Below are 22,485 nucleotides of genomic sequence, written 5' to 3'. Positions count from 1 at the left end.
ACCCTACCCGGCTAATTTTTGTATTTTTAGTAGAGATGGGGTTTCACCATGTTGGTCTCGAACTTCTGGCCTCAAGTGATCTGCTTGCCTCAGCTTCCCAAAGTGCTGGGATTACAGACGTGAGCCACCGCGCCTGGCCAGAAGTTTTAAATTTTGGTGTAATTGAATTTACCTATTTTTTTCTTTGTTTCCTGTTCTTTTGGTATCATATCCAAGAAGTCATTGCCAAATTCAGTGTTATGAAGGTTTTCCTCTATGTTTTCTTCTAAGAGTTTTATAGCTTCATATCTTACATTTAGGTCTTTGATATGTTTTGAGTTCATTTTTGTATATGGTGTAAGGTAATGGTGCCTTTTCATTTTTTTTGCCTGTGGATATCCAGTTTTCCTGTCACCATTTGTTGAAGGCACTGTTTTTCCTTATTGAATGGACTTGGCACCCTTGTTGAAAATTATTTGACTATATCCATGAAGGTTTATTTCTGGTCTCTCTCTTCTATTCTACTGGCTTAAAGATCTGTCTAATATGCCAGTACCACGCTCATCACTGTAGCTTTGTAATAAGCTTTGAAATTTGGAAGTGTGAGATCTCCAAATTTGCTCTTCTTTTTCAGTATTATTTTGGCTATTTGGGGTCTCTTTAGATTCCATATAAATTTTAGGACAGGTGTGGTGGCTCATGCCTGTAATCTCAGCACTTTGGGAGGCCAAGGCAGGAGGATCACTTGAGGTCAGGAGTTCGAGATCAGCCTGGCCAACATGGTGAAACCCCATCTCTACTAAAAACACAAAAATTAGCCGGGTGTGGTATGGCACACCTGTAATCCCATCTACTCAGGAGGCTGAGGCAGGAGAATCACTTGAACCCAGGAGGTGAAGTTTGCAGTGAGCCCAGATCACACCACTGCACTCCAGTCTGGGTGACAGAGTAAGACTCTGTCTCAAAAAAAAAAAAATTAATAAACTTTAGAATACATTTTTTTTCTTTTTTTCATACCTCTCTCCAGTTTTGGATAATTTCTCTATTTCTGCAAAAAATGTCATTGGGATTTTGATAGGGATGGCAATGAATCTGTAGATTCCTTTGGGTAGTACTGGATTTTTAACAACATAAAGTCTTGTAGTCTAGCACACAGGATGTCCTTACATTTGTTTGTGCCTTCTTTTGTTTCTTTCAGCAACATTTTGTAGTTTTCAAAGTACAAGTCTTTCACTTCCTTGGGTAAGAGTATTCCTAAGTATTTTATTCTTTTTGATGATATTGTAAATGAAATTCTTTTCTTTTTTTTTTTTTTTGAGACGGAGTCTCGCTCTGTTGCCCAGGCTGGAGTGCAGTGGCATGATCTTGGCTCACTGCAAGCTCCGCCTCCCAGGTTCACGCCATTCTCCTGCTTCAGCCTCCTGAGTAGCTGGGACTACAGGCACCCGCCACCATGCCCGGCTAATTTTTTGTATTTTTAGTAGAGACAGGGTTTCACTGTGTTAGCCAGGATGGTCTTGATCTCCTGACCTCGTGATCTGCCTGCCTCGGCCTCCCAAAGTGCTGGGATTACAGGCATGAGCCACCAGGCCTGGCCGAAATTGTTTTCTTACTTTCCCTTTTGGATTGTTTATTGTTAGTGTACAGAAGTGCAACTGATTTAAATTTTTTTTAATTTAAAAAATTTTATTTATTAATTTCTCTAGTCTTTTATTCCTTAAATGCAGCTGATTTTTTGTGTGTGTTGATTTTGTATCCTACTACTTTGCTGAATTCATTTATTCTAAGTTTTTTTTGTGTGTGTGTAATCTGCAGGGTTTACATATAAAATCATATTGTGTGTAAACAGAGATAATTTTACACCTTCCTTTCCAATCTGGATGCCTTTTATTTCTTTTTATTGCCTAGTTGTCCTGGCTAGAACTTCCAATACTATGCTGAATAGAAGTGGTGAAAGCAGTCATTTTGCTTTGTTCCTGATCTTAGAGGAAAAGCTTTCGGTCTTCCACCATTGAGGATATGTTCTGTGGTGAGCAGATCTATGCAAACCTGTCCCCAAAGTCTGAGGAAACTGAGAGGTTGAAGAAAGAGGATGACAAATCCAGTTTCTTAGAAAGAAACATTTAATATGGCCTTACAAACAGAAGCCGTGTCTGTGTCTCCGGTAGCAGCAAGATAAGATGGTGGATCCCTGCACCATCACCCTCCAGACCCAGGGCTTATCTATCACAGGGAAGGAATGTGTAGGATGATTGAAACCAACCCCTCAGGAAAAGGTGAGAATGCTATGTGAATCTGCCTTAGGGAAGGATTTACAGTAAAAGTAGATAAAGTAGAAATCTTAGAAACTGTATTAGTCTGTTCTTATGCTGCTGTGAAGAAATACCTGAGACTGGGTAATTTATAAAAGAAAGAAGTTTAATTGACTCACAGTTCTGCATTGCTGGGGAGGCATCAGGAAACTTACAATCATGGTAGAAGGCAAAGGAGAAGCAGGCACCTTCTTCACAGGGTGGCAGGACAGAGTGAGTGCAAGCAGGGGAAATGCCAGATGCTTATAAAACTGTTGGATCTTGTGAGACTCACTATCACAAGAACAGCATGGGGGAAACTGCCCCATGATACAATTACCTACACTTGGTCCCACCCTTGACACATGGGGATTTTTACAATTCAAGGTGAGATTTGTGTGCGGACACAGAGCCAAATCATATCAGAAGCATTCCTGGAACCAGGGGTTAATTGGAAGTGAACATGGTGAATTAATATCCAAGATAAAGTTGCTTTGGCTGCCACCAACTATTAGCTGTGGGCTTTTCCCATATACTCCTTATTATGTTGAGGTAATTTCCTTCTATTCATGTTGTGTTGTTGTTGTCGTTTTGTTTTGTTTTTTTCTTTGAGATGAAGTCTCGCTCTTTCACCCAGGCCAGACTGCAGTGGCGCTATCTCGGCTCACTGCAAGCTCCACCTCCCGGGTTCACACCATTCTCCTGCCTTAGCCTCCCAAGGAGCTGGGACTACAGGCGCCCGCCACTGTGCCCGGCTAATTTTTTGTATTTTTAGTAGAGATGGGGTTTCACTGTGTTAGTCAAGATGGTTTCAATCTCCTGACCTCGTGATCCACCCACCTCAGTCTCCCAAAGTGCTGGGATTACAGGCATGAGCCACCGCACCAGGCCACATAAGATTTTTATACAAAAATATTATCTTTTCTTTTTAACCTTCATTACCAAAAATACATCTTCATATCCATAACTTTCTTTACTGCTTCCTATCTTGTTTCATATTTTCAAATAATCTTTAAATAGCTTCAAAATTAGGTGATTTAGTTTAAAATAAAGAACATATTTTAATGTTTTTCTTATATATTTTTTCTGATCAAAAGCACATCTTACTTTTTTTCCCATTTTTAAAAAGTCAATGGTTTTTTATTTATTTATTTCTTTTTTTATTATACTTTAAGTTTTAGGGTACATGAAGCACATCTTACTTTTTTGGCACATTTTACATGCCAATTATATATCAATTAGAATTTTTAACTCTTAGTAAACTTAAATTGTAGTGAAAAACCTTGGAAATAAGAAACCTTGAATTGTCTGTCACATATCAGTATTTTATAAATGAGAACCATTTTATAATTTTTAGAAACATGTTTCCCCATAGTTTAAAAATGTATATTGAGTCTAAAATATATTTAGGCTTTCTATAGAATTTAAGAAGCCAAGAACAAACTCATATTTATGTTCAGCAATTTGTTTTAGTATTTTTTAGTCTTATGTGGAAATAACCCAAATGTTTAGTGGGTATCTATTATTTAATTTAACATAACTTTAAGACATCAAATTACATTAAAAGTTCATTTATATGCATTTATCTAGCTTATATTTGCATTACTTATTTATTTTTAGTGCTTACCTGTATTACTTACAAGAAATGGAATATTAGACAAACTAGTCATTATTTCACATTATTTTCTTGTTAACCATTTTTATAGCCTGTGAATATCAAGTGTTCACCTAAGTAGGAACCTTAAAGTTAAATATATGGCTATTTTGCTGGTAATTCAGAAGATACAGCTATTTTCACTAAACCAACAATATTAAATTGGTTTTATTTATAAAAAATTACACAAACAAAGAAAATTCTGTTTTAGGCTGGGTTTATGGTTCTGTAACTATTGTGTCAAACTCTGACACCTTAAACATCTTTTAGAGACAAATATAAAACTGACCAGTAAATCCAGGCAAAAATGTATACTGACAATTTTGAACACATTTTACAATTTTACAAACAATTTTAAAATTAGCTTATTTATTAAATATTTACTTAAGTCACAGGAACTAAAAATCATGTGGGTTAATTCCTATATATTTTATATACAGTCCCGTTTGCCTAATTCAATCTAAATAAAACAAATTTAAGGGATTTCTGAATGACTATGTCAGATTTTACCATGTTGACAAAACATATAATACATATATACTTACATAAACACATCCAAACACACACACACACACACACACACACACACACACACACACACAGAGACAGAGAGAGAGAGAGAGAAGGAGACAGAGAGAGAGAGATCTACAGCTTTCATTTTAGAATTTTTTTCATGAGACAATAACACAAGCTCACTGGTTTATGAAAGACAGTTGGATCTAAATTACATTTTGGAGAAAATAGGAACCTACTCATATGGCTTAACTTTGTTTTTCCTATAGGTATTCTAATGAAGCCTGTGAACTAAAATTTTGGGGAAAGCAGTTTCCATAGCAGATTGATTTTTAAAAGCTTCTTTCACCCCTACCTTCTTTTTGTCCTTTTTAAATTTCAAAGTTTAGGGTTAAATTTTCCAGGTTTACATTTTAGCTAAGACTGGCTGAATTGTATAAGGAAAACAAAATCTCCAAGTAGTCTTAAACTAGTAACAAATCTATCTTTTGTTTGCTGGTCTGGTTTCCTGATTAGCATATGCAGGAGGGGAAAGATTTTAGCAATTTTTTTCCAGCTTTTTCTCTTTGGCCTCTGTGTGGCCGAAAAAGTAAAATTTTTATGCTGGACAGAGATGCCTTATAGCATGGCTGTGAACTCAAGATTTTGACCTGTTTGATGTGAGAGCCTAACTTTTATAAACATTTATCTAGTATATTTTCCTTGAGATTACTAAATTTTCAATTAAGCATTCCATTACCATATGCAATTATTAGTCAGGCAAACCTAAATTTATAGTTTTTTTTGTTTTGTTTTGTTTTAAAGATGGAGTCTTACTCTGTTGCCCAGGCTGGAGTGCAGTAGTGTGATCTTGGCTCACTGCAACCTCCACCTCCTGGGTTCAAGTGATTCTCCTGTTTTAGCCTCTCGAGTAGCTGGGATTACAGGTGCCTGCTACCACTCCCAGCTAATTTTTGTATTTTTAGTAGAGACAGGGTTTCGCCATGTTGGCCAGGCTGGTCACAAACTCCTGACCTCAGGTGATCTGCCCACCTTGGCCTCTCAAAGTGTGGGGATTACAGGCATGAGCCACCATGCCCGGCCCTAAATTTATAGTTCTACAAGGTGTCTAAGTTTTGGTTACTATGAAACTGTTATAATTTGTAAAGTCATTAATTTGAAAGCCTTTTAACGCTTAAAAAAACTTGGCCAGAATGCCATAAGGAGTAGGTTTTATCTCAACACTAGTAGAAAAGTCAGCAGGTTCAAAGTAGGCAGAAAAAAATGCACAGAGAACTTAGAAGACTCTACATGTTAACTTTACAATTGCAGGCTTTTAGAATATTTATCATTTCAGTTCTGAATTTTTGCTGATTTAATTTTGCTCATCAGATGCCAGGTGTGGTGGCTCCTGCCTGTAATTCTAGCACTTTGGGAGGCTGTGGCAGGAGGATCACTTGAGGCCAGGAGTTCGAGAGCAGCCTGGCCAACATGGTGAAACCCCATTTCTACAAAAATACAAAAATTAGTCAGGTGCAGTGGCACATGCCTGTAGTCCCAGCTACTTGGGAGGCTGAGGGGGGAGGATCACTTGAGCCCAAGAGGTGGAGGTTGCAGTCAGCTGAGATGGTGCCGCAGCACTCCAGCCTGGGTGACAGAGCAAAACTGTCTCAAAAATAAAAAGTAAAAATAAAAATAAATAATTTTGCTCATCAATTTTAAAATGTTCACAAGAGTGGGCTGTAATATGCGGCCAGCTGGAGTCCCAGAAAACCTGGTATGCCTTAATGTTTGAGAATTCCACTCTGTTTCTTATTAATCTCTCAAGAGCAAAGAAAATTCTATAAATCCTGTTAGGGAACTTCAGGAGTTTAGGCTGGTGCTTTAGATGGTGGGGACTGCCCTAGTGGCTTTTAATTAGCCATCCTGCACCCACCATCCAGAATGTTTGTTTTTGCTTTCAGAAGATTTTCAGAAACTAAAGAGTTAAGCCAAATCAAAAGAAACCAGTATAAGAGTGTTTGCAAAAATTGTAACCTATGCATCCTGATCAAAATATTAAATGAGTTCCACAAACCAGAAAAGACATGCCTCACAGGCTGACTGTAAATTCTGTAGAAACTAAGAGTACTCAATTCAGAAAGACACACATCTTTATACAAGAAAGAACTTACCAGAAAAGGCAAAAAGTCTTTTTATCATTCAAGGAGAGATGTATGGTCTTTATTAAGGTTGCGTGATCCAAACCAGATCCCAAATAATATCAAATAATACCAAAAAGAGAGAGGCTCAGCCTGAGAGAAGACTCACCAGGGAAGAACAGGCAAGCCTTGGAAGCAGAGAGCTCAAAGGGCTCTAGTGGGTCCTGCACACCAGTTCCAAGAATTGCCAATCCCTTCCAATAGTGTTCTTTTTCAGGTTTCATTTCTGACACCATTTATTCCAACCGAAATAACAAACATTTGGAGAGGAGGTGGTGTAAATTATTCAACTCGGAAAATATAAATGCAAACATACTAAATAAATTCATTGGGAAATTAGTCCAGTTGATATATGTGGTCATGAATATAAATGAAGACCATGCCTCATGGTTGTTGGTTTTGTCCCAGCCATGTTCCCTTATTCTGTAGGCATGGAACAGGGAGACGGTTGCCTTCATCTCATACATGTTTGCAGAAAGAAAGTGGGCCAAGGAAGTGAGGTAGTGCAGGGGAGAGATGATAATTAACCATGGAATCTGCACTAGGTAAAGAAACATGCAAGAGCATGTCAGGGGTGGTGGCTGTAAAAAAATGATAGCATCAATAAACTGGAAGACCTTATCATATCTGAAGAAATATTGGGGTTATTGAAAAGGTGAACTGAAAGAAGAAAGTAATCAAAGAATGGAAAATTAGAAAAAGCAATTTGAGCAATAGTACAATTATTGGTGATGATGAGGTCTAGAGCATCATTGTCCAATGATTATTTAAATTTAAATAAAATAAAAAATTCAACTCCTCAGTTGCACTAGGCACATTTCAGGTGCACCACAACTATATGTGGCTAGTGGCTACTATGTTGGACAGCATAGAGAGAGATTTCCATCATCACAGAAGTTCCATAGAATAGCATTGTTTTGGTATGACTGTGGGAGTGAATAGCTGAGGAGAAGAGCAGAAAAGGTTTGAGGTTAGAATGGAGGAGATTGTAGGGTCATCTTGACCAATGATAAAATCACCAATAATTGAGATAAGAGTAGGGGTGGGGGTAATATCAGAGGGAGCCCTGTTTGTCACCTGGCCCTTGGGGAGACGAGTTCTAGTGAGGAAATTGTAGAGAAAAGATGAACTTCTGTAAACTTCTGTTTTCCACTAGTCCTTAGGGTCACCACCTAATCATTAGCATGCCTAGCCCCAGCCCCACCTACCAGTAAGGCCAGCCTCTTATCCTTCACCTGGGGCTGCACTACATTGCTCCCAGGAGAATCAGCCAAATATTGCCTTTCCATCTAGGTGCTTGCCAAAGAGGAAACTGAGGCATCCCAAACCCCAGCCGACCTTGATTCTAGGTTGACAGAGCAGGGCCCAATAGTCCATCCATATGTGCAGAGGTGCCCAGAATCTTCAGGAAGATGGAGCCCAACTGCCTCCCAGATCCCCCGGTGAGAAGAAAATAAGGCTGGGGATGGGAACTGGGATTTCTGGCTCTGTCATATATCAGAGCAGACTGGGGCTTCCTATGGCCATTGTCAGTCCAAAACAGGGTCCTTGGACACAGGGGGCAAACCTCACTGAAATTCTTTCTCAGGGAGAAGAGGAGGCAGCAAGGTCCAAGTCTCAAGAATCCCATTAGCTGGGGGAGCCCATGAGACACACCAGACCAGGTTAGACCTTTAATAGGGACAGTAGACACAGTGCCCTTCTTGCCAGCCCTTAGGAGTTGATGATCTCAATGTGGAACTGCAGGTGAGTGGCTGTGACCACACAGTGGCCCTGGAGGAGAGCGCAGGTCTGGCAGTTGTGGCATTGCCAGTGGCCCTGGATGATGTAGATGGCATTGAGCACCTGGCAGTATCGCCAGCGGACACGCCACATACGGACCAAAGACTGGAGCTTGATCACTGCCCTCTCTCTGGTTGCGTAGGCGATCAGAGCTGCCTGCCGTTTCTTCTCCAGCACCCTCGACAGCGTCATCCGCCACCAGCACTGAATTATCCAGGCCCTGAGGGCTGCATGCAGCAGTGTCCTGCGCACCAGGGTGCCCCGCCACCAGGCCTGGATCTTTACAGCTGCTTTTGTTCTTATTCTAAGTTTTTCCTAGGCAGAGACAAGAGCGATCAGTCAGAAAACTTCCTGCCACCAACTTCTAGGATCTTCCTGGAAGGAGCCTGGATTTTCTCTCTCAAAACACAGCCCTTCCTCAGAATTCAGGGAAGTTAGCAGGACACTGACTAGGAGCCATCAGACCTGGTGGTGACCTTCCTCTGCCACTGTGGGCACATCACTTCAATCTTAGAGTCACAGAGTTCTTCTGCAGACTATTTCTGCAGTGCATGGATCAAGGGAAAAACCATTAGTAACTAGAAGGGTGCAATAGGGATGTGTGGGACCTTGTTAGTCACACTCACCTCTTTGGTGCTCACTGGGTTTGGAAAGGCCTCATAACCTTCTGCCTGGTAATTATCTGCTAATTCCAGCCCCAAACCACCACTGGCTGATTTCTGTCTGCTATGACCATATTTTGATACTATGGTAGGTTTTCAATACCCTGACCACATATTCTACTCCAAGTCTTTCCATATTTTGAACAGTCTACTCTCTAATTCCAAGTTCTCACATTCTCACCTCTCAGCCTTATGCATTTCTTGATGGCTTTCATTCTTTTTTTTTTTTTTTTTTTTGAGAAGGAGTCTCGCTCTGTTGCCCAGGCTGGAGTGCAGTGGCGTGATCTTGGCTCACTGCAAGCTCCGCTTCTCGGGTTCACCCATTCTCCTGCCTCAGCCTCCTGAGTAGCATAGCTGGGACTACAGGCACTCACCACCACACCCGGCTAATTTTTTGTATTTTTAGTAGAGATGGGGTTTCACCGTGTTAGCCAGGATGGTCTCAATCTCCTGACCTCATGATCTGCCTGTCTCGGCCTCCCAAGGCTTTCATTCTTTCCAATCACTCTCAATATCTCAGTCAGGCCCAGATCCAGACAGCCCAGACTGAGAAGAGAATGGAGGAAAAATGAGCCAACATTGAGTTGACTCCTAATTAGACCCTGGATTGATAAGAGGCAAAGTCCTACACCTTATGATGTAGTTATAAATGTTCTGGATTTCTCTTAAGTACATGGAATTCTTCTCACCTTGATTTTCTGCTGTTTCTTCTTCTGCAATGTCTTCCATTCAATGCTTTCTTCAACATCCTCAATTATAACCAAAATTAAATTGCCTTTGGTCTGTCATCAGAATTAAATGGGAAGTACATAAATGAGTTAAGACTGTTTCTCTCTATGGCTCTATACAAAGACAATTACTACTTTAACATCCTCTCTTTTCTCAAGTCCTGTAAAGCCCAGGGAGATACCCACCCATTCCTGGTCCACCTAATAGATCTGGCCATGTCTCTTACACAAAATCGAACCCTCATGGCCTGTCCTTAGATGGTTCATTAGCCCTGATTTCTCTGCTTCCCAAGGTCTGGCATGAGTAACGTGAGTGAGGAGAGAGCTCTGAATTCACAATTGCATTATGACATAGGGATTGGGACATCTGCCACAGAGATGTGTCTCTGTCAGAAACAAACTCCAGGGGAACTTGTACTGTAGCAGGATGAGCTGCAGACAAAACCCCTCAGACACTGGGTTAAAGAAGGAAGAGGCTTTATTCCCCCGGGAGCATTGGCCGACTTGCATCTCAAGAACCGAGCTCCCTAAAGAAAGAGTTCCTGGCCCTTTAAAGGGCTTTCAACTCTAAGGGGTCCATGTGAAACCTGGCCCTTTTTAGGGCTTTCAACTCTAAGGGGTCCATGTGAAAGTGTTGTGATAGATTGAGAGCACATGTGGTTAGAGTTGGGGGTGGGGAGGGTTAATCTTTCAATCTCAGGTCTGGTCAGTGGCACCAGTTGGTCTTGCCACTGACTTCATTCCTGTTGTTCTTCAGCTTTTACTTCCTCATTCTCTTCAGAGACAGGAGACAGTAAGAGAAATGGCCTCTCTCCTCAGTACCATGTGTCTGCTTGCCTCCTGTCAGAGATGTGTCAGAGCTGAGGGTGGAAAAATAGAGCACTTGAGTGCCATTCCATAGCAGGGCTCTCCTCATGTGAAGTCCATCCACAGTCCCTTCTCATTATCATCAGCATGGCAAAGCAGGGAGGACCATGACGGTGCATCCCCATATCACTCTCTAGCGTCTGGTGAGATTTAGCACTTCCTCTCTTCCCTTGACTCGGTGCCTCACAAAGCCTTAGGAAACTAGAAAAAGATACACCAGATGAATCTGGAAAGCAGTCAAATAAAGATCAAAACTTAAATTAATGCATAGAAAACAAAGATGGGTAGTGGAAAATAAATTTAAAAGGCAGTATTCTGACAAGACCAGTTTTAAAGATACACAGTTTACCAACCTGGGTAATCAAGAGAATGAAGTGGAATGAAAAAGGTGAAATAGCCACAGGGAAATTTAAATAAATACAAGGAAATATTGATGGTGACAAATTTGAACACTAAGAGAAAATGATTTTCTTTCTCTCTTTTTCTTTTTTGGAGATAGGGTGTCACTCTGTTGTCCAGGCTGGAGTGCAGTGGTGCAACTTTGGCTCACTGCAGGCTTGACCTTCCTGGACTCAGGTGATCCTCCCACCTCAGCCTCCTGAGTAGCTGGGACTACAGGCACACACCACCATGCCTGGCTATTTATTTTTTTCATTTTTTTGTTCTTTTATTTTTTAAAGTATGTATTTATTAAGATATGGGGTCTCACTATGTTGATTGGGCTGGTCTCAAACTCCTGGGCTCAAGTGATTCTCCCACCTCAGCTTCCCAAAGTGCTGGGATTACAGGTGTGAACCACCATACCTGGCCGATTTAAAATTCTAAGAGTTTTATAGCTTTAGCTCTTACATTTAGATCTTTGATCCATTTTAAGTTTTGTGTATGGAGTGAGGCTAGGTTCAAATTCATTCTTTTACATGTGGATGTCGAGTTGTTCTGGCATAATTTGTCAAAAAGACAATTGTTTTCCCATTGAATGGACTTGGCACCCTTGTCAAAACTAAATTGACCATAGATATATGGGTTTCTTTCAGACTCTCTATTCTATTTCACTGACCTATATGTCTGTGTTTGTGCCTGTACCAAACCAGTTTGATTACTGTAGCTTCGTAGTAAGTTTTGAAATCAGGAAGTGTGAGCCCTCCCACTTTGTTTTTCTTTTTCAAGATTGCTTTGGCTATTCTGAATCCCTTGACTTTCCATATGAATTTTAGAACCAGCTTGTCAATTTCTGCAAAAGAAGTCAGCTGAATTCTGATAGGGATTATGCTAAATCTGTAGATCAATTTGGGGAATATTGTCATTTTAGCAATATTAAGTCTTCTAACCTACAGACACAGATGTCTTTATTTAGGTCTTCTTAAACTTCTTTTTTTTTTTTTTTAATTTATTTTTTATTGATCATTCTTGGGTGTTTCTTGGAGAGGGGAATTTGGCAGGGTCATAGGACAATAGTGGAGGGAAGGTCAGCAGATAAACAAGTGAACAAAGGTCTCTGGTTTTCCTAGGCAGAGGACCCTGCGGCCTTCCGCAGTGTTTGTGTCCCTGGGTACTTGAGATTAGGGAGTGGTGACGACTCTTAACGAGCATGCTGCCTTCAAGCATCTGTTTAACAAAGCACATCTTGCACCGCCCTTAATCCATTTAACCCTGAGTGGACACAGCACATGTTTCAGAGAGCACAGGGTTGGGGGTAAGGTCACAGATCAACAGGATCCCAAGGCAGAAGAATTTTTCTTAGTATAGAACAAAATGAAAAGTCTCCCATGTCTACCTCTTTCTACACAGACATGGCAACCATCCGATTTCTCAATCTTTTCCCCACCTTTCCCCCTTTTCTATTCCACAAAACCGCCATTGTCATCATGGCCCATTCTCAATGAGCTGTTGGGCACACCTCCCAGACGGGGTGGTGGCCAGGCAGAGGGGCTCCTCACTTCCCAGTAGGGGCGGCCGGGCAGAGGCGCCCCTCACCTCCCGGACGGGGCGGCTGGCCAGGCGGGGGGCTGACCCCCCCACCTCCCTCCCGGATGGGGCAGCTGGCCGGGCAGAGGGGCTCCTCACTTCCCAGTAGGGGCGGCCGGGCAGAGGCGCCCCTCACCTCCCGGACGGGGCGGCTGGCCGGGCGGGGGGGAGACCCCCACACCTCCCTCCCGGACGGGGTGGCTGCCGGGCGGAGACGCTCCTCACTTCCCAGATGGGGTGGCTGCCGGGCGGAGAGGCTCCTCACTTCTCAGACGGGGTGGCTGCTGGGCAGAGGGGCTCCTCTCTTCTCAGACGGGGCGGTTGCCAGGCAGAGGGTCTCCTCACTTCTCAGAAGGGGTGGCTGGGCAGAGACGCTCCTCACCTCCCAGATGGGGTCACGGCCGGGCAGAGGCGCTCCTCACATCCCAGACGGGGCGGCGGGGCAGAGGCGCTCCCCACATCTCAGACGATGGGCGGCCGGGCAGAGACGCTCTTCACTTCCTAGATGGGATGGCGGCCGGGAAGAGGCACTCCTCACTTCCTAGATGGGATGGCGGCCGGACGGAGACGCTCCTCACTTCCCAGACTGGGCAGCCAGGCAGAGGGGCTCCTCACATCCCAGACGATGGGCGGCCAGGCAGAGACGCTCCTCACTTCCCAGACGGGGTGGCGGCCGGGCAGAGGATGCAATCTCGGCACTTTGGGAGGCCAAGGCAGGCGGCTGGGAGGTGGAGGTTGTAGCGAGCCGAGATCATGCCACTGCACTCCAGCCGGGGCACCATTGAGCACTGAGTGAACGAGACTCCGTCTGCAATCCCGGCACCTCGGGAGGCCGAGGCTGGCGGATCACTCACGGTTAGGAGCTGGAGACCGGCCAGGCCAACACAGCGAAACCCCGTCTCCACCAAAAAAAATACGAAAACCAGTCAGGCGTGGCAGCGCGTGCCTACAATCGCAGGCACTCGGCAGGCTGAGGCAGGAGAATCAGGCAGGGAGGTTGCAGTGAGCCGAGATGGCAGCAGTACAGTCCAGCTTCGGCTCGGCATGAGAGGGAGACCGTGGAAACAGAGGGAGAGGGAGACCGTGGGGAGACGGGAGAGGGAGAGGGAGACCGTGGGGAGACGGGGGAGACCGTGGGGAGATGGGAGAGGGAGAGGGAGAGGGAGAGGGAGAGGGAGAGCTGGATTTCAAAGCTTCATCCATGCTGAGCTGCAAGGGGAATGGACAGAACTGGAAACTGGGGCAGACTGGAGTTGCCAGCCTAGGCTGGGCTGTGAGCTCCATGGAGCAGATGCTGGGCCATCCTGCCCCGGCTCTAAGCCCAGCCCCAGGCCAGGGCCGGCACCTGGTAGGCTCTTCATGAGTGCTTCCTGAATGAATGCTGCAGAATGGAAATTCTTTTATGAAGAGAAAAATCAGAACTGATTTGAGCTCCTCTGTCAGCCTTACTTCCCTCATCTGTTTCAGTAGAGCTAAATACCCATGGTTGTGTTTGTGTGGCATTTTCGAAGCACTGCCCCACTGGTGTGCTGAACGGGTTCCCCAGGAGGAACTCCATCTTGGGTGGACAACACGCAGCGGCCCGGGCCCCCTGTCTGCCACCTAGGCCTCCGCTGTCTAGGTCTTCTTAAACTTCTTTCAACAATGTTTTGGAGTTTTCAGTGTACAGATCTTGCTCTTTTTGTGTAAAATTTATTCCTAAGTATTGTACTTTTTTGATGCTGTTGTAAATGATATTGTTTTCTTAATTTCATTTTTGGCTTTTTCATTGCTGATATACAAATACAACCATTATTTGTTATTGATCTTATATCCTGCAACCTTGAATCATGTAATCTGCAAATAGTGAGTTTTACTTCTTCTCTCCTAATCTGTATGTCTTTATTAATTTTCTCGATTAAGTGTTCTGGCTGGAATCTCCAGTACAATGTTGAATACAAGTGGTGAGTAGACATTTTTGTCTTGCTCCTGTTCTTAGGGAGGAAGCTTTCAGTACTTCACCAGTAAGTATGATGTTGTGTCCAGAATTGGTTCCTTCTGGTCGGTTCTTGGTCTCACTCACTTCAAGAATGAAGCTGCAGACCCTCGCAGCGAGTGTTACAGTTCCTAAAGATGGTGTGTCTGGAGTTTGTTCCTTCAGATGTTCAGATGTGTCCAGAGTTTCTTCCTTCCAGTGGGTTCGTGGTCTCACTTGACTTCAGGAGTGAAGCCACAGACCTTCGCAGTGAGTGTTGCAGCTCTTAAAGGTGGTGTGTCCAGAGTTGTTTGTTCCTTCCGGTGGGTTTGTGGTCTTGCTGACTTCAGGAGTGAAGCTGCAGACCTTTGCAGTGAGTGTTACAGCTCATAAAGGTAGCGTGGACCCAAAGAGTGAGCAGCAGCAAGATTTATTGTAAAGAGCGAAAGAACAAAGCTTCCACAGCATGGAAGGGGACCCGAGCAGGTTGCCGCTGCTGGCTTGGGTGGCCAGCTTTTATTCCCTTATTTGGCCCCGCCCATGTCTTGCTGATTAGTCCCTTTTACAGAGCACTGATTGGTCCATTTTTCAGAGTGCTGATTGGTCCCTTTTTACAGAGTGCTGATTGATGTGTTTACAAACTTTAGCTAGACACAGAGCACTGATTGGTGCGTTTTTACAGAGTACTGATTGGTGCATTTACAAACCTTTAGGTAGACACAGAGTGCTGATTGGTGCGTTTTTACAGAGTGCTGATTGGTGCGTTTACAAACCTTTAGCTAGACACAGAGTGCTGATTGGTGTGTTTTCAATCCTTTAGCTAGACAGAAAAGTTCTCTGAGTCCCCGCCTGACCCAGAAGCCCAGCTGGCTTCACTTCTCAATCCCCCCTCTAAACAGGACAACCCAACTGCTGTTGGGAATTGGGCAATGACCATTCTAGCAGCTTCCTGCTGGACAGGGGTGAAGAAGGGGCCCTGCAGTTTTAATGTCCTCCAGAGGGGAACACTTTAGGCCAGTGAAAGGGCCAGCAGGTTGGTCCAGGGGTCCTTGGTAGAAGTTGTTAGTTGAGCTCATTTGGGGTTCCATTTGTAAGACCATCTGTAGCTCAATGGCCTCGATCCTAGAGGAAACAAATTTGACAAAGAGGTTAAAAATACAGGGCCCAAAGGCGAGTAATAGCAAGATGGCTGCCATGGGACCTAGAAAGGGAAGAGGTCATGTTGCCCAACTCTAGAGGTTGGTATAAGAGTTTGAAAGGCATTGTCTGATTTCAGAAGCCTTTTCCTGTAAATGCCGGGTGGCATCTTGTACTCTCCCTGACTGGTTAGTGTAAAAACAACACTCTTCTCCTAAGAAGGTGCAGAGTCCTTCTTTCTCAGCAGTGAGGAGGTCTAGGCCTTGGCAGTTTGGAGAGTCACTGCTGCCAAAGAGTCTATTTGGGATTTTAGAGTAAGGATAGATTTCATTATTTCTTACAAACTGTCTGAGAAATCCTTTGAGAATGTGTGGTAGTAGGATTATGAAATAGATAAACTGGCTCTTCCGGTTCCTGTAGCAGTAGCCATTCCTAACCTTATAAGTAGGGGTATTAGTTGTATGGCTCTGTGCTGATGGACTTGAGCTTTGAGGGGTACTGATAGGGTCTGATTTCCACAAGATTAGAAGTTAGGATGATATATGTTTACACTGTTAACTTTTAGCAAACTTTACTTTTGTTGAAAACCTTGTAAGTTTGGGATTTCAATTATTCTTTGCTATTAATAAGACTTTGTTCAGTCCATATTAACTTAGAATTGGTATAGATGGCTCCTTCCTGATTCTGTAAGTTCTTTGAGGTTTGGCTGAGTGCAAAGAGCTCACACATTTGAGCAGACCAATTATTAGCCAATTTTCCTAACTCTGCTTCTACACGAGTTTCCTTATCATTTACTGAATACCCATTGTGTCTTTTTTCCTTAATTGCCTGGGAGGAACCATCTATCGTCCTGTCCTGAAGGGAGTTCCTCCTAGATCTGGTCTGACCTTTGTATGGTAATTAATTAAGATTTAGATCCCCTGTTAGGAAACCTGCTGGGTTAAGGATTTTTGATAGGAAGCCTACGTGTTGTCAGTGGCCTCAGTGCTTTCAGGCTATACCCTTGTTTACACTGACAACAAGGTGGTATTGGAGTGTTATAGGGTTACAGAGAAGACCTTCAATTATCAATTATAGGTTTTAAATTTACCCTGGCTTCTAAAGGAATAGGGTACACTGTTTTTTCTTTACTACTTCTATCTCTCTTTCTCTTTGACTTCTTCTTTGTCTCTCTCTTTCTGACTCCGTCTTTGTCTGTCTCTTCCTCTCTCTCTTTGACTTTCTGTGTCTCTCTTTCTCTCTCTCCCTGACTCCCTCTTTGTCTCTCTCTTCCTCTCTCTCTCTCTCTGACTTTCTGTCTCTTTCTCTCTTTCCTTTCTGCTGGTCTTTCCCTGCCTCTGCCAGCCACTTATGCTGCTGTTCTCCCCTCTCCTTCCCCTTTTGATGGCTTTGGCAGTGTAAGACTGTCACCTCCTTGGGTTTTTGCACTGCATGCAATAATTCCATGGTTTCCTTGTGGTATTTAATGGGGGTTCCCCCAGAGGTTAGGAACCCCCTTTCTTTCCATATTGCAGCATGGGCATGTAGGATTAGATAAGCATACTTGCTATCTGTATACACATTTATTCTTTTTCCCCTTCCCAGTTCTAAGTCTTGGGTAAGTGCCACTAGTTCTCCTAACTGGGTGCTGGTCCCTGGGGGAGGAGGCTTACTTTCAAGTATGGTTACATCACTAACTATGGCATAACCTGCCCTTCATATCCCATTCTTCATAAATAAACTTCCATCGGTATATAGGTTAAGGTCAGGATTAGCTAAGGGGACTTCTAAGAGATCATCTTGGGCGGCATAAGTCTGGACTATAATTTGTTGGCAGTCATGCTTGATTGGTTTCCCCATTCTCTGGGAAAAAAGTGGCAGAGTTGAGGGCCATACATGTGTGTATTTGAAGCACCGGTCCCTCAAGGAGTAGCGCCTGGTATCTAAGCAGGCGGCTGTCTGATAGCCATAAACTTCCTTTGGCATCTAGTAAACCATTTACATCATGAGTAGTCCAGACAGTGAGATCCTTTCCTTGTATTATTTTGATAGCCTCTGACACTAAGATTCCCACCACCACAACTACCTGTAAACAGTGAGGCCAGCCTTTTGCTACTACATCAATTTCCTTACTTAGGTATGCCACTGATGTGGGGTTGTCCCATGAATCTGAGTAAGGACTCCAAGAACTATTCCTGCTCTCCCTGTGATGTATAAAGAGAAGTTTTTTCCTGTGGGAAGGCTTAAGGCTGGAGCTTGAGTTTGTTCCTTCCAATGCCCAGACTTCAGGGTTGATTCCCTCATCAAGTAGGGGACAACAAATGGGTAACTTGCTCCCCATATTCATGTAAATAATAGCTCCAAGTTTGGCTAATATATCCCTCCTTAATAAGGGTGTGGGACTTTCAGGCATAATAAGAAAGGCACGTGAAAAGAGCAAAGTCTCCCAATTACAACTGAGAAGGTAGGAGAAATACCTGCTTACAGGCTGTTCAAGGATTCTTTGGATGGTAATGGATCTTGAGGACAGTTGTCCAGGACAGGAGATTAACACTGAGAAGGCTGCACCAGTGTCCAGGAGGAAGTCAATTTCATGGCCCTCAATGGTTAAACATACCTGGGGCTCCATGAGGGTGATGACATGAGCTGGCACTTGCCCCAGGTACCCTCAGTCCTGTTATTGGATCATCTGGTTGGGGGCTTCCAGTCCAGAGAACCTTTGTCTTCTGAGGCAGTGTGCCTTCCAGTGATTGCCTCGGCATAGTGGACGTGGGTGAGGGGCAGCTTGTTTCTCATTGGACAATCTTTTTTAAGGTGTCCTTGAAAACCACACTGATAACAAGCCCTACTGGGTGATTGGCCTGCTCCATTTTCTGTCCTCTCTGAACCACCAAGGTTTGTTTGTCTGAGGGCCATGACTAAGGCTGTGGCCTGTCTCTGATCTCGCTTTTCCTTTTGGGCCTGTTCCTCTTGGTCCCTATTATAGAACACCGAGGTTTCCAGGTTTAATAATGCCTCCAGATTTTGTTCAGGGCCCAGGGCTCCCTTCTGGAGCTTTCTCCTGATATCTGCAGCTGATTAGGTAATAAACTTATCTTTTAGAATCAACTGACCGTCGAGTGAGTCGGGTGACAGGGGAGTATATTTTCTTAAGGCCTCCTGTAGCCGCTTAAGAAAGGCAGGATTTTCTTCCTTTCCCTGAGTTATGGTAGACATCATTGAATAATTCATGGGCTTTTTCCTAATTCTCCTTAGTCCTTCCAGAACACAGGTCAACAGATGTTTACAACTCCAGTCCCCATGATCTGAGTTGAGGTCCCAGTGGGGATCCATACTGGGGACAGCTTGCTGACTGGTAGGGAATTTGTTCCTTTCTTCAGCTGTCATTCTGTCATTTACTTGACTAAGATACCAGGTATCTCCAAACTCTCAGGCTGCAGCTAATGCTGCATTCTTTTAATTAAAGGTCAGGGTTTGATCTAACAATAGCATGACATCTCTCCAAGTGAGATCGAACTTTTGTCCTAGACCCTGTAGGACATCTATGTACCTATCAGGATCATCTGAAAACTTCCCCAGGTCTACCTTGATCTGCTTTAAATCAGAGAGGGAGAAGGGGACATGTACCCAGGTTGGGCCAAATTCCCCTCCCCCTCCAGCTTGAAGGGGACATAACTGATAGCCCAGGGGTTTTTGTGGTCCTTTGGAGATTTCTTTGCTTGTTTCCTTCTGGGTGGGGGAGATTAGAGGAGGCTTATCATTAATAGGAAGGGGAGCTATAGGGAGGCTAGGATATGGGGGTAAGCTGAGGGGTCCTCTTGTGGGATGTAAATTGCAAGCGTTGCATAGTTGTGTATTCTCTTCAATTAAAAGAGAGCTTGGACATAAGGTATTTCACTCCATTTGCCTTCCCTCTTACAGAAAATGTCAAGCTGCGGGATAGTATTGTAATTTATACTTCCCTTGGGTGGCCACTTTTCCCCATAAGAGAGAGCATACTGGGGCCAAGCTGTAGTGCAGAAAAAAAATGAGCCGCCTCTTTTTCAGGGTTTGTGGGTCAAATTGGCCCCAATGGCTTAGGATGCATTTCAAGGGTGAGACTGTTGATGCCTGAGTGTTTCCCATCTGAAAGGCAAAACCACCCGTGGTTTTGGTTTGTTTGTTTCTCCCCCTGCCCAAGAACCTGCAACAGTCCCTGGACCCTGCTGATCAGAATAGTTGCACTCACTGATGCAGCAGCAGAAATACCTCTTGCCCAAGAACCTGCAACGGTTCCTGGACCCTGCTGATTGGAAGAGTTGCGCTCACTGATGCAGCAGCAGAAACACTAGTTTTCCTCCCAAAACGCAAGGAGGACCGAGGAATATAGGATTTAGTGGCACTTACTGACACATTCTCAAAAACCTGCACCCTTGCCTGTCTTCCTAGACCACAAAGAGGACTGAGAAAAAATGGATTTAGTGGCTCTTACTGACACATTCTCGAAAACCTGTTAGAGTCCTAAGTGTTCTCCTGTTAGTATTGGGACTTTACCCACGTCCTATAAAGATGTTATGCCCCCAAAATGAAGTGGAGGGCCATACCCTGAGGGAGGTGAGGGATCTCCAGAGTTGGAAGAGTGATGCATTTTTGTCCTCACTTATATGAATAGGAAGGCTATAATTTCTGAAGCTCCCCATATCCTAGCTTCTGGAATAGCTTTTGTTAGGCCTGCTAGTCTGAGGAGGGATCCTAAAATTCCAGATAAGATAGTCCCCTGCCCCAGTGGAGCTTTGGGCAAAAATTATGTCTTTCTGATTGGTGAGCCTGGGTGCCTAAAGAAGGTAACAGAGTCCTGGAGTTTATACTAGAAATCATTCTTATAGGAGAAACTAGAAAAGCACCAGAGACAGGGAGTGGTTTTTAGAAGTGGGACTAGCTTCAGAGAAGAGAGGCGAGAGGAAGTTTATCTGACAAGCATTAGGACCCAGGAGGCAAGGGTCATCATAGATAGGATAGATGGGCAAGTCTCACTTGGGCAACATGAGTTTAAGAGTTCTGCTTATGGCCGCAGAGTCAGCCAACTCATTGTCGGAACCCCGGAGCTGAATGGCTTTCCTGTCTGTTGACCCTCAGCTCAGCCCAGAAGTACAGGAAAAGTGGAAGCTGGTTCCAGGCAAACAACGCTCCAAATTGCGAAGAGTCGGGGGTTGTTAGAGAGCCCTTTCCCAGAAAGCCTGACACCCGTGTCTTTAGTTTGGCAGCCATGCTAGTCACTTTTAGCTGGCCGACAGGTGCCCGGTATTTAGCCCCCAAATTCTAAGGAAAAATAGGACAGAATAACAAGCGAAACGGGTCTGATGGTACTCACCATTTGGTGATAGATGATAGCCCCACGTTGGGTGCCAAAATGTGTCCAGAATTGGTTCCTCCCGGTGGGTTCTTGGTCTTAGCTGACTTCAAGAATGAAGCTGCAGACCCTTGCGATGAGTGTTACAGTTCTTAAAGATGGTGTTTCCAGAGTTTGTTGCTTCAGATGTTCAGATGTGTCCGGAGTTTCTTCCTTCCAGTGGGTTCATGGTCTTGCTTAACTTCAGGAGTGAAGCCACAGACCTTCACAGTGAGTGTTACAGCTCTTAAAGGTGGCTGGAGTTGTTTGTTCCTCCTGGTGGGTTCATGGTCTGACTGACTTTAGGAGTGAAGCTGCAGACCTTTGCAGTGAGTGTTACAGCTCATAAAGGTAGTGTGGACCCAAAGAGTGAGCAGCAGCAAGAGTTATTATGAAAAGCAAAAGAAAAAAGCTTCCACAGTGTGAAAGGGGACCCAAGCGGGTTGCCGCTGCTGGCTCACATGGCCAGCTTTTATTCCCTTATTTGGCCCCACCAATGTCCTGCTGATTGGTCAATTTTACAGAGCACTGATTGGTCCATTTTACAGAGTGCTGATTGGTCCGTTTTTACAGAGTGCTGATTGACGTGTTTACAAACCTTTAGCTAGGCACAGAGCGCTGATTGGTGCGTTTGTACACAGTGCTGATTGGTGCGTTTACAAAGCTTTAGCTAGACACAGAGCGCTGATTGGTGCGTTTTTACAGAGTGCTGATTGGTGCATTTACAAATCTTTAGCCAGACACAGAGTGCTAATTGGTGTGTTTACAATCCTTTAGCGAGACAGAAAAGTTCTCCAAGTCCCTACCTGACCCAGAAGCCCAGCCAGCTTCACCTGTCAATGTTAGCTGTGAATTTTTCACTGGTGCCCCTTATCAGGTTGAGGAAGTTCCTTTCTATTCCTAGTCTGTCCAGTTCTTTTTTTTGTTTTTGCTTTTTGACAATAAAAGGGTGTTAGATTTTGTCTAAAGTTTTTTTTCTAATATATCAATTGAGATGATTAATGGGATTTTTTCCTTTATTTTATTAATACGGTGGCACAATAATTGTTTTTTGTTTGTTGAACCAATCTTGCATCCCTTGGATGAATCTCACCTGGGTATGGCATAATAATTCTATTTATAAGCTGCTGTTTTTGGTTTATTAGTATTTTGTTGAGAATTTCTTCACCTTTATTCATAAGAAATATTGGTCTGTAATTTCCTTTTCTTGTGACGTCCTTGTTTAAGTTTGGTATCAGGGTAATTCTAACCTCATAGAATGAGTGGGAGTGTTCCCTCCTCTTGTGTTTTTTGGAAGAGTATGTGAAGAATTGGTGTTAATTGTTATTTAAACTTTGGTAGAAGTTACCAATGAAGCAATCTGGTTTTGGGTTTTTCCTTGTGGGAAGTGGCTTTATTGCTAATTTAATCTCTGTACTTCTTTGAT

General features: G+C 43.7%; 1 protein-coding gene across 1 annotated transcript; it reads right to left on the bottom strand.

The window, feature by feature from the left end:
- Window positions 1-8,276: 8,276 nt before the first annotated feature.
- IQCF2 (IQ motif containing F2) lies at window positions 8,277-10,086 on the bottom strand. The gene is made up of 3 exons (NM_203424.2): window positions 10,017-10,086; window positions 9,751-9,843; window positions 8,277-8,714 (listed from the first exon to the last, which is right to left on the bottom strand). The coding sequence occupies exons 1-3, from the start codon at window positions 10,032-10,034 to the stop codon at window positions 8,331-8,333; spliced, it is 495 nt and encodes a 164-aa protein (NP_982248.1). The 5' UTR covers window positions 10,035-10,086; the 3' UTR covers window positions 8,277-8,330.
- Window positions 10,087-22,485: the final 12,399 nt, after the last annotated feature.

Source organism: Homo sapiens, chromosome 3 (genome assembly GCF_000001405.40).
Source record: "Homo sapiens chromosome 3, GRCh38.p14 Primary Assembly".
Taxonomy (NCBI): domain Eukaryota; kingdom Metazoa; phylum Chordata; class Mammalia; order Primates; family Hominidae; genus Homo; species Homo sapiens.
The sequence above is the reverse complement of the archived record's forward strand: the minus strand, read 5'-3'. Positions and strand labels throughout refer to the sequence as shown.